Source organism: Homo sapiens, chromosome 2, assembly GCF_000001405.40.
Source record: "Homo sapiens chromosome 2, GRCh38.p14 Primary Assembly".
NCBI classification, from domain to species: Eukaryota; Metazoa; Chordata; class Mammalia; order Primates; family Hominidae; genus Homo; species Homo sapiens.
This window is the reverse complement of record NC_000002.12, coordinates 203,523,897-203,535,835: the sequence shown is the minus strand read 5'-3', so window position 1 is coordinate 203,535,835 and position 11,939 is coordinate 203,523,897. Positions and strand designations below refer to the sequence as shown.

General features: G+C 41.7%; 1 protein-coding gene across 19 annotated transcripts in view, besides 3 other annotated features; it reads left to right on the top strand.

The window, feature by feature from the left end:
- Positions 387 to 456: a silencer, noted in NCBI's record as "silent region_12258". NCBI's record gives its function as "represses an Ori minimal core promoter by ATAC-STARR-seq in GM12878 lymphoblastoid cells {active_cell/tissue: GM12878}" and the evidence as "EXISTENCE:reporter gene assay evidence [ECO:0000049][PMID:35858748]".
- Positions 507 to 596: a silencer, noted in NCBI's record as "silent region_12257". NCBI's record gives its function as "represses an Ori minimal core promoter by ATAC-STARR-seq in GM12878 lymphoblastoid cells {active_cell/tissue: GM12878}" and the evidence as "EXISTENCE:reporter gene assay evidence [ECO:0000049][PMID:35858748]".
- The window catches only part of RAPH1 (Ras association (RalGDS/AF-6) and pleckstrin homology domains 1), a 101,620-nt gene continuing 90,215 nt past the window's right edge, over positions 535 to 11,939 (top strand). For 9 of the 19 annotated variants that reach the window (NM_213589.3, NM_001439024.1, NM_001439027.1 and 6 more), the window contains exon 1: positions 535 to 725. Coding sequence is in view for 6 of the 19 variants with exons in the window: in XM_047445547.1 (XP_047301503.1) it covers positions 1,628 to 1,676; positions 2,449 to 2,471 (72 nt within the window). In the remaining 13 variants the exon portion in view is untranslated. Of the gene's footprint in view, positions 726 to 1,604; positions 2,472 to 11,939 lie in introns of those variants that run through there. The other 10 variants (XM_047445547.1, XM_047445543.1, XM_047445542.1 and 7 more) reach the window with 3 other exon arrangements.
- Positions 667 to 766: a silencer, noted in NCBI's record as "silent region_12256". NCBI's record gives its function as "represses an Ori minimal core promoter by ATAC-STARR-seq in GM12878 lymphoblastoid cells {active_cell/tissue: GM12878}" and the evidence as "EXISTENCE:reporter gene assay evidence [ECO:0000049][PMID:35858748]".

The following is an 11,939-nucleotide window of genomic DNA, read 5'->3' as shown; positions in this document are numbered from 1 at the left end:
GAGTCTCTGAATACACGGACAGCGTATAAAGGTGGATGCGTACAGCTCCCTGACAGAACTGCTGGAGGCTGCTGTGCCTCCCAGGGCGCTAGGACAGAGGCTGCTGGGCCGGCTTCCTATGAAAGGCGAGCAGGGGGTGGGGCAGCACTGGGATTTTCCTCCCCACTCATTCATTCTCTGATTCACTCGTTCCTGTAGGCGGCTCACAGGGACTTGCGGAGGAAAGGCGAGGCACGAGCGGAGCCGCGGTTGAGTGCGGCCGGGCGCGGCCGGGCGCCTGAAGGGAGGGCGGAGGGCCGGCGCGGGGCGCGGGCTAGGGAAGGGCGGCGGGCGCGGCGGCCTGCGCCGGAAGTGAGTGGTTGGCGGCGGGCGGGGGCGGCGCGCGGTCCCGCGCGAGTCGGCCCTACAGTCGGCAGTCCGGCCCTCAACCCCGCCTTCTGCGTCTCGGCTGGACGCGAGCACACTCGGCTCCGCCGCCGCCGCCGCCGCCGCGGGGCGCTGCGGCCGCCCCGCCCCCGCTCCCGCCGCCGCCCGCCAGTCAGTCAGTCAGTCAGTCAGTCAGTCAGTCAGTCAGTCACTGAGCGCGCGGCGCGGGAGCTGCTGGCAGTCGCTGCGTCTCTGGCGAGGGAGCGCCGCGCCTGGGGAGGAGGCGGAGGCAGCGGCTGGAGGAGCGCGAGCGGCGGTTTCCTTGCCCGGGGCCGCGGGAAGGCCGACCGACTGCCGCGGTGAGTGGTTAGCCTCGCCCTCGGGGCCAGGGGGTAGGGAGCCGGCTGGGCGCGGGGCCGTGAGGCGCTCCTGCCGCTCCCGCCTCCATTTTCCCGGCGCCCGGCCCCGCCATCCGGGTGCGGTACGGTCGGCGGCAGCCTGGGGCGGGGTCGTTGCCAGGTTGGGGATCGGGCCGGGGCTGGCTGGACCGCTCCCGGCTGGTGGATGGAGGTCGGTGGGGCCTGGACTGCACCCTGCGCCCCTGGGGACCGCGACGGAGGGAGACAATGAGATAAGGGGCCGCCTGGGAGGGTGCGGTTAGGCTTCTCCGACCCAGCACCGGGGGCTGGTGGCCCGGGACCGCAGGGAGGAAAGGACTTTCCCCCGCCCAGCTGCAGAAACCAGCTACTGGATGTCGGGTTGCTTGGGTTTCGATGCCCCCATCTTTCATAGATGAGTTCAGTGCAGAGATTTTGAAAGGCGGGGCTCCTTCTGTGTCTTCTTTCTAATTAAACAGGATAAGTAATTGCTTCATTGCTTTTTAACCGCGTCTCCTCTTGCGGTCTGTATTATACATTCCCGCCGGAAATCCAAACTGCAATTCATGGGGGGGGGGGGGGGGTGGACGGAGGGAGGGGGCAGTGTGATAGTATTAGGATGCCTTCGTGTTAAGACAGGTTGAAAGATGTGGTTTTCTTAAGGCAGTGACTTAGGGTGTCCCCACTGTGTGAGCTGGAAACCGCATAAACCTTATTGCTTACAAGCTCGAAGACATGGTTTAATATGAAATAAGAGCCTTGAGGGAGGGTGTAAGTGTTACATGTGTCTTGCGTGTGTGCATTTCTTAAATTCTTTGGGAAGATCCGTTGGGGAAATCCGGGAGAATGGAAAAGTTCTTCACTCAATCTTCCAATAAGGGTTGATGTTGTCTGCAGCATTTCTCAGGGAAATGTGGAGAGCTGCTTATGTAGGTAAAGTCCACCGTTAAGGAACAGTAAAGGTAACGGGTTAGGGATGAGGCGTGATCGGATTATTAAAGAGTCAGTCCATGGGGATATTAAATTCAGCAAACATTTATGGAATACCTACTCTGTCAGTTAGGCTGGGTGACACCAGGTGAACAAGCATGGGGTGGTGGAAAGAGCTCTTCGGAGTGGGGGAAACCGTACGCCCTGGAATTGGCTTGCAATGTGAGTTGGATAAGCTATTGAACTCTGCAGTACGTTCCCTATCAGTAAAATGGGAATAACACCACCTGTTTACCTCCCCAGATGTTTTTCATGTAGATTAAATGAGATAATGTATGCAAAATGCGTAGCACCTTGCCTGGCATAGAGGTGTTTAACAGCACCTTAAATTCCTTTCCTCCTCGGGGTGGTTTTTTTGGGGGTGCGGTGCGGGGGGTTAGTGAATGTAGGTAAGTGTAATACAGTGAACTATATAGTAAAATGTTGAGGTATAGAATAGGAGAGCGAAGAAGAGAGATTAATTCTAAATTGAGGGAGGAATGCATGGAAGCCTCGGCATTTAAGTGAAACCTTTAAGGATGAGTAGGATTTCAGCAGATTCAGATGGGGAGGAGGACATTTCACATGGTGGTGCTATCCTTTGAGAGCCGAATTGAGGGGGAGGACCTTTGGGGGAGGGGCAAAATAGAGACGCTCAATAGCTTTTAACTCTTGTTGAGTCTGACCTTCAAAGATTGTCTCCGTTATTTTGCTTTTTGTGTGGTGAATTTCCCAGAAACCAGATGCAGCCCTACTCAAGTAAGTACAAAAAGCTTAATTCATGATTTTTTGGGTTAGACATTTTGTATAATTTAGATTGCTGTCTCCTGTTTGAATGTAATAAAGAATTATTTGTAGATGTTGCCTTATGATAAACGTTAGCTTTATTTGGTAGAAGCAGCAGCTTATTTTTCAGACTCAGAGGTCTCACTAAGATTATAGAGTATGTGACTGGGTGAAAGGAGTGGAGTAGTGGGCACTATTGGGTGTGTTTTCACAAATATTTAACTCTTTATTTTCCAAAGAGGTGTTTTTAACCATTGTCTTTGAGGATGATTATGTCTTTTGGTTTTGCTGCCCTTTGGTGCTCACCCCATAAATACTTACTAGATTGGCATCGTGGATAACTGTCACACTATTCACAGATTCTTGGTTACACATTGTAGAATCTCATGGCTTTGGTTGCCTTGGTTTGGAAGTAATTGAATGTCAACATTAGTATTGTTAATCCCAAACACTTAATTTTAGGAAAATTAATATTAGTGAAGCAAGATGTGACCTCAGGCAGATAACTTATCTTGGACTCTTAATTCCTTTACCTATAAAATGAGAAGTTTGGATTAGATCACTGCTTCTTAAACTGTTTCACTGAACTTGAGAATTTCAGAGATTCTGCAGATGTTTGACTTTAATCTCAATAAAAATGTATTTTAAACTTATAATAATAAAAAGTGGCCACTGTATGACGTACACTGTTTTAAACACTTTATATGTGATAATTTATTTAATTCTCGCCATAACCCTATGAAATAGAGTCTATTATTTGAGAAAATAGGCACAGACAATAAGTTGCCCAAAGACTGCAGAGCTATAGTGGCAGAGCTGGATTTGAAACCGGGCAGCCTAATTCTTAAGCTTGTATTCTTAACCATGTTTTTACACTGCCACTAAAGCAACACACACATATACTCTTTGAAAGAAATGTGGTAAAGTATGCATAACATACAAATTACCATTTTAACTATTTTTAAGTGTACAGTTCAGTGGCTTAAGTACATTATTGTGCCATCATCACCACCATCTCCAGAAATTTTTTATCATCCCAAACTGAAATTCTTCCCATTAAACAGTAATTCTACAAGCCACAGTGCGCTATGATCATGCACACTGGGTGACAGAGTGAGACCCTGTTCAAAAACAAAACAGTAACTATCCACTTCCCTCCCTCTACCCTACCCTCCTAGTAACAACTTTTCTACTTTTGACTCACACAATATTGATTCTTGTGTCTGGCTTATGTTACTTAACACACTGTCTTCAAGATCATCCATGTAGGATGTATCATAATTCCATTCCTTTTTCAGACTGATTAATATTCCGTTGTATGTATATACCACATTTATGGATATTTGGGTTGTTTCCACCTTTGGGGTACTGTGAATAATGCTGCCTTGAGTATTGGTATACAACTGTTTGAATCCCTCCTTTCGGTTCTTTTTTCAGTATTTCTATACACCCAGAAATGGGATTGCTAGATTGTATGCTAATTCTATATTTAATTTTTGAGGAACTGCCATATTGCATTCCACAGCAGCTGCACCATTTTACATTCCCACTAGCAATGCACAAAGGTTCCAGTTTCTCTGTATCTTGCCAACACTTCTTTTCTAGTGTTTTTTCTTTTTATGTTTTTGATAATAGCTATTCTAATGGGCGTGGTGTGGTATTTCATTGTGGTTTTGATTTGAATTTTCCTAATGATTAGGGATGTTGAGCATCTTTTCGTATGCTTATTGTCCATTTGTATATCTGAGGAGAAATGTCTATCCAAGTCCTTGACTCATTTTTAAAGTAGGTTGTTTTTTGGTGAGTTGTAGGAGTTCTTTGTACACTCTGGATATTAATCCCTTATCAAATATATGATTTGCAAACATTTTCTCCCATTTTATGGGTTATCTTTTCACTGTCTTGATAGTATCCTTTTGCACAAATTTTTTTTTTTATACTTCAAGTTCTGATGTACATATGCACAACGTGCAGGTTTGTTACATAGGTATACGTGTGCCATGTTTGTTTGCTGCCCCCATTGACTCGTCATTTACATTAGATATTTCTCCTAGTGCTATCCCTCCCCCAGCCCCCCACTCCCCAAACACAAAAGTTTTAAATTTTGAGGAAGTCCAATTTATTTTTTCTTCTGTCTGTGCTTTTGGTGTTATATCCAAGAGGCTGTAGCCAAATCCAATGTCATGAAGGTTTTCCCTGTTTTCTTTTAGGAGTTTTATAGTTTCAACTCTTATGTTTAGGTCTTTGATCCATTTGGGATTAATTTTTGCAAATGTGTTAGGTAAGGGTCCAACTTCATTCTTTTGCATATCCAGTTTTCCCAGCACCATTTGTTGAAAGGACTGTCCTTTCCCCATTGAATGGTTCTGGCACTCATACTCATTCATATATACACATGTGTATATTTATATGTATGCATGTGTGTATATAATTTTTTTTTTTTTTTGAGATGGAGTCTTACTCTGTTGCCCAGGCTGGAGTGCAATGGCACAATCTCAGCTCACTGCAACCTCTGCCTCCCAGGCTCAAGCGATTCTCCTGCCTCAGCCTCCCGAGTAGCTGGGATTACAGGCATGCACCACCGTGCCCAGCTCATTTTTGTATTTTTAGTAGAGACAGAGTTTCATCATGTTGCCCAGGCTGATCTTGAACTCCTGACCTCAGGTGATCTACCTACCTCGGCTTCCCAAAGTGCTGGGATTACAGGCGTGAGCCATCACGCTTGGCCTAAATTTTTTTTAACACATTGAAGACCATAGTGCTACATGGTTATACGTGGCTAATTTTGGGGGTGCGATGGGGCAGAAATTCCTAAGAATAAAGCTTTTCCTTTTATTGTTTAAAACATTTGGATCAGTGTATTTGAAGAGTATCCTGAAGACTGTAGATGGGACTGTTAAGAGCTGCAACTGCTTACCTGGGTGAAATCAAAACAAAGCATACAAAAATAAATGGATTGTTTAACATCTCTAACCCTTAGTTTATCTCTTTATTTGAGTTTACAATAAATTAACATAATGTATTTGAACATAAAATAGCAATGCTTTTGCCAGCTTTATATATTTGAGAGGCTGTGTAAAATTTCATCTGGATGAGTTTTGTTGTGAAATAGTTTTTAAAACTCCAGACTGTATGATCTCTAAAGCTTTTTCATATGCTCTTCTTGCTATTAAGGTATTTTTCATGCTTTAAGGCAGATGTCTTAAACTATATCACTTATGTCTTATAAATTGGCTTTTTGAAAAGTATATATGTATTTGCTCTTAATAAAATGCATACTGTTTTTCTGCTCTAAGCAGAGCTAGGCATAATAGAGAAATCTAAGATAGGTATTCTGTTCTCCACAATAGAGAGGATGCCAGTTTAGGTATAAAATACGAGGAATCAGTAGAAGATGACACTGAAGACGCAGGGACCACAAAGAAGCAGAAGGGTCTTTGAGTTGAAAATGGGTGAACAGATAAAGTTTACAAAAGGAGGAACAAGTCATCCCTTTAGATGAGAAGAAAAACAAGATCAGGAAGCCAAGGATTTACCATTATGTTAGACTATTAAAATTTAAGCCCCATGGTGAAGAATGGTGATAGCTAGCAAAAATTGGACTGTAAACATATTCAGTAGGCCCAGTATTATTGTAGAATCTTAAGTCAATTTTGCAATGGTATTTAAAACTTTGGCCGGGTGCAGTGGCTCATGCCTGTAATCCCAGCACTTTGGGAAGCCAAGGTGGGTGGATTGCCTGAGGTGGGGAGTTTGACACCAGCCTGACCAACATAGAGAAACCCCATCTCTACTAAAAATACAAAAAATTAGTCGGGCGTGGTGGCGCATGCCTGTAATCCCAGCTACTCAGGAGGCTGAGGCAGGAGAATTGCTTGAATCTGGGAGGTGGAGGTTGCGGTGAGCCGAGATGGCGCCATTGCACTCCAGCCTAGGCAACGAGAGCAAAACTCTGTCTCAAAACAAAACCAATAAAAAACTTGGATGCTTTTGGAAATTACTTTTAGAAGGATTTTACTGAGTTTGATAAGTGAAGAAAAGTATTAGGTTAAATCAGTAGAGCAGGCCAGGTGCGGTGGCTCATGCCTATAATCCTAGTATTTTGGGAGGCTGAGGCAGGTGGATCGCTTGAGCCCAGTTTGGGACCAGCCTGAACATGGCAAAACCCTGTCTCTACAAAATATACAAAAATTAGGCAGGCATGGTGATGTGTGCCTGTAGTTGCAGTTAACTCGGGAGGCTGAGATTGGGAGCATCACCTGAGCCTGGGAGGTCAAGGCTGCAATGACAGAGTGAGACCCTGTCTCAAAAAAAAAAAAAAAAAAAAAAAAATATATATATATATATATATATATATAGCAAAACAACCAGTAATATGACTTGAAAATATATTCTTTATATATCCCAAATTTTGCATGTTTCCCAAATATAATTTGTTCTAATTTTCCAATAATGTTTACTTTATAAAGGATAATTATTTCTTGGCTCATTTGGTTTATTTCATATTGTAACAAATGACATTGGAAACTGGTAAAGGAAATCAGTGATCCTACTTATCTGTGAATAGTGTACTTAATAAGCAGTAATGGTTCAAAATTTTTTTACCCTAAGTTTTTAGAATAAACATATACAGTTTAAGGCAGCAACAATGAATATGATACGTTATATTTGAAAAATCTTGGTTATAGTACTCATTAACACAGAAATTTCCAAATCTGGCTCTTGAATCTGTTTATTATGTTACTGGTTTTTAATGCTTCTCTTAGCTGACAAGGCAGCTCATGTAGGAACATATATCCAAAAAGAAGAAGTGCCTCTTCGGCTGTACTTTCTATTAGGAGATACTGTTAAGTTTGTATCCATCAATTATGCAGATTGGGCTAGTACAAAGTTTGTTCTCCCTATTTGTCAATCAGCTATTCTTGCAAATCAGTGTGAGGATTTGTATTTATAAAGTTTTAATAAATGGATTCAAAATCCACCAAAACTGTGTTTGGAAGGCATTTAAAAAGTTAGAAATGGCTTCTCTGTTCTTAGAGTGTGTAGATATGAGTATTTTAAGATGACACATTTTTTTTTTTTAGAATACAGCTATTTTCTTACTAAGTTTTAAAATGTCTCATTTACCTTTAAGGTACAGATGCATTAACCATGTTTCTGTTTTTAGAAACTATGTCTAGGTAGCATACTGCCACAGCACAGCCACTTACAACAGAAATTCAGCAAATTTAGAACTCTACTCTTTTTATAAAAGATAAATGCTTACTTCATCTTTAAATTGCACAATTTTTTAAATGATTTGCCATGAGACAAACCTGTTTGGTACAAAATACCATGATCACTCCTTAACAACATCAATAACAACATCCGTTAACACTTGGCTCTGTTCTTGCTTCAGTTTCTCTTTTATTCTGCTTTGCCCTTGGACTTAAACCTTACCCTCTCCTCCACCTTTGTTTCATTGAGGTCAAAGCAGCTGCTTCATGAAGGATTATATAATACAGTTTTCTATACTTTTTTTTTTTTTTTTTTTTTTTGAGATGGAGTTTCACTGTTGTTGCCCAGGCTGGAGTGCAATGGCTCAATCTTGGCTCACCACAACCTTCGCCTCCCGGGTTCAAGCGATTCTCCTGCCTCAGTCTCCCGAGCAGCTGGGAATACAGGCATGCGCCAACACGCCCGGCTAATTTTTTGTATTTTTAGTAGAGACGGGGTTACTCTGTGTTGGTCAGGCTGGTCTCGAACTCCTGACCTCAGGTGATCCGCCCACCTCAGCCTCCCAAAGTGCTGGGGTTACAGGCATGAGCTACCACGGCCAGCACATAAAACGTTTTTATTGAGGAAATCATTTACTGTTGAGAATATGTCTTCTCTGGAATACCAGTCTCTCGTAGAAGCTTACAAAAGGGTAGATCCTTTATTATTGAAAAAGAATCAATGTATTAAAGATAGTAATTACTATCACTCTAGCCTCACAATACCTACAATTATTTAATACCAGAATACTTATGTTACTTTGTATGGTGTGTGATTCTCTGACAGGTGGCCACGGTGAAGACGCCAGTGTCTGTATGTTAAGGATAAATATGTATTATATATAAAATACATGTGTGTATTAAGATAAGGATTAAATAAAAATAGAACTTCTAATAAGATGTTCGTATACCCCAGTGAATCATCACTCATACATCCTGGGGTATAAATGGAGGTAACCATTTTGGAAACTACTATACAGTCTTACTGAAGTATTGTTAGGCCAAGCACGGTGGCTCACGCCTGTAATCCCAGCACTTTGGGAGGCCAAGGTGGGCGGATCACCTGAGGTCAGGAGTTCTAGACCAGCCTGGCCAATGTGGCAAAACCCTGTCTCTACTAAAAACACAAAAATTAGCTGGGTGTGGTGGCATGTGCCTGTAATCCCAGCTACTCAGGAGGCTGAGGCAGGAGAATTGCTTGAACCTGGGAGGGAGAGGTTGCAGGAGCTGAGATCGCACCATTGCACTCCAGCCTGGGTGACAGAGCGAGACTCTGTCTCAAAAAAAAAAAAGAAAAAGAAAAATTGTTAATAATGAGCCTTTCATATTAAGTTCCACTTCATAGTGTATTGTATTTTTTTTTTTTTTTTTTTTTTGAGACAGAGTTTCGCTCCTATCTCACTGCAGTAGGCTCACTGCAACCTCTGCCTTCTGGGTTCAAGTGATTCTCCTGCCTCAGCCTCCCAAGTAGCTGGGATTACAGGTGCCCATCACCACACCCGGCTAATTTTTGTATTTTTGGTAGAGATGGGGTTTTACCATGTTGGCCAGGCTGGCCTTGAACTCCTGACCTCAGGTGATCTGCCTGCCTTGGCCTCGCAAAGTGCTGGGATTACAGGCCTGAGCCATCTCGCCTGGCCAGTGTATAGTATTCTTATATGAAGTCATCTTAAAGCACTTGGGACAAGACATTCTGGTTCTAATACTAATTGGAAAGTAATGTTTGTGGAAGAAAGTAGATAATTTCAGCAAAGTGAAATCATTCCACATTATATCAGAAATCATAATATCACTTTGTACCCCATAAATGTATATACCTATAATTTTTCAACACATACAGTAATAAAACATTTTTTTAAAAAACGTTAGCAAATTGAGACTTTAATAAAATTTATTCTTCAATACAGTCGAAATTATAGGCTTATTTCAGAAGCCTAAATTTGAATTTTGCATTATCCTTTTAGGAATTATTCAAGGTGAATTTAAAAGTACCCTTAATTAAAAATAAAAAATTAAGTATTTAACTTAGTAATTGAGTAGCATTTTATAGACTTACAGTTTTTTCATGTCCATAGTATTTTTTTTCGGAACACCTCCAGCAAGGTATACAACATTTTCCATTACCCTGCTCTTTATCTTTTCCTTCTCTCTGTTTTCTTTGCCTATCCCCAAAGCAACTGCAGTCATAGTTGCTTCAGCACAGGTAAGTTTTGCCTGTTTTATAACTTTGTATTAATTAAATCATAACCATGCTTTTGTCTCCAGCTTCTTGCATTCAGCATGTGCATTTTTTGTTTTGTTTTTCTGAGACAGAGTCTCACTCTGTTGCCCAGGCTGGAGTGCAGTGGCCCAATCTCAGCTCACTGCAAACTCCGCCTCTCAGGTTCAAGCAATTCTTCCACCTCAGCCTCCCAAGTAACTGGGATTACAGGTGTGCATCACCGTGCCTGGCTTATTTTTATTTTTTTGTATTTGTAGTAGAGATGGGGTTTTACCATGTTGGCCAGGCTGTCAGCATGTTTTTAGATTCATCCATGTTGTTGCTTATATCAGTAGTTCCTTTTTAGTGGTAATATTCAATTGTATGAATATGTTAATATGGCCAGGCATGGTGGCTCACACCTGTAATCCCAGCACTTTGGGAGGCCAAGGGGGTGGTGGATTGCCTGAGGTCAGCAGTTCAAGACCAGCCTGACCAACATGGTGAAACCCCATCTCTACTAAAAATACAAAAATTGGCATGGTGGTGGGCGCCTGTAATCCCAGCTACTCTGGAAACTGACACAGGAGAATCGCTTGAACCCAGGAGGCGGAGGCTGCAGTGAGCCAAGATTGTGCCATTGCACTCCAGCCTGGGCGACAGAGCGAGACTCCGTCTCAAAAAAACAAAAAAGAAGATGTTAATATACCAGATTTCTTATCCATTTTCCTGTTGGTGGGCAACTGGGCTGCTTCTAGTTTGGGACTATTCTGAAGAAAATGGTTATGAACATTTTTGCACAAGTCTTTTTATGGACAGATGTTTCATTTATCTTGGATAAAGGAGTGGGATTGCTAGGCCATTTAGATAGATGTTCCTCCTTTTAAAAACTTTGTATTGAAGAACAATACATAATCAGAAAATTGCATATATCAGAAGTGAATTCTAATTCTAATTCTGCTATGAAGTCTTTTAGGTTGCTTGTTTCTTTAAAAAATTTTTTATTGCCTTACTGAGGTATAATTTCTATATAATAAACTGCACATATTAAAGTGTACAATTTGGTAAGTTTTAATACACCCATGAAATCATCACTGTAATCAAAACTGAACATTTCCATCATCTCCCAAAGTTTCCTCATACCTCTTTGTAATTTGTCCCCCTCTACCCCTGTCTTACGGCAATCTGTCACTATGGATTGGTTTGCATTTTCTAGAATTTTATATAAATGGAATCATACAGTGTCTTGTTCCCTTCCCCTCCTAACCCACCCAAGTCTGGCTTGTTTTCATGCAGAATAATAATTTTTAGATTCTTCGATCTTGTTGCTTGGATTAGTTCCTTTTTATTGCTAAAGTATTCCATTATGCATATATGCCACATTTCGTTTTTCCAGGCACCTTTGATAGAAATTTAGGCTGTTTCCAATTGTGGACAGGTTTTCATTTCTTGAGGATGAATACCTATGAGGACGTGTTGGGTTATAGGGTAGGTGTATTTTTAACTTTAATTTTTAAAGTGGGCAAATTTTTCCAAAGTTGTATCATTTTATATCCAACAGCATAATATGACACTTGGTGTATATCCTAAGACTTGGTATTGTCAGTCTTTCTCATTCTAGCCATTTTAATGGGTATGTAATGATATAACCGTAGCTTTAATTCACCTTTCGCTGATTATTATTGATGTTGAGCAATGTAATGTTCTTAGTCATTTGGGAAGTGACAGCAAGTCTTTGCCCATTTAAAAAATAAGATTGTATATATTTTTTAAATTTAGTTTAACAATTATTTACTCGATACAAGTTCTTTATTGGATATATTTGCAAATATTTTCTCTTAGTCTGTAACTTAGCTTGTCTTTTTTATTTTTTACTTTTGAGACAGAGTCTCGCTCTGTTGCCCAGGCTGGAGTACAGTGGCGTGATCTCGGCTCACTGCAACTTCCACCTCCCAGGTTCAAGGGATTCTCCTGCCCCAGCCTCCC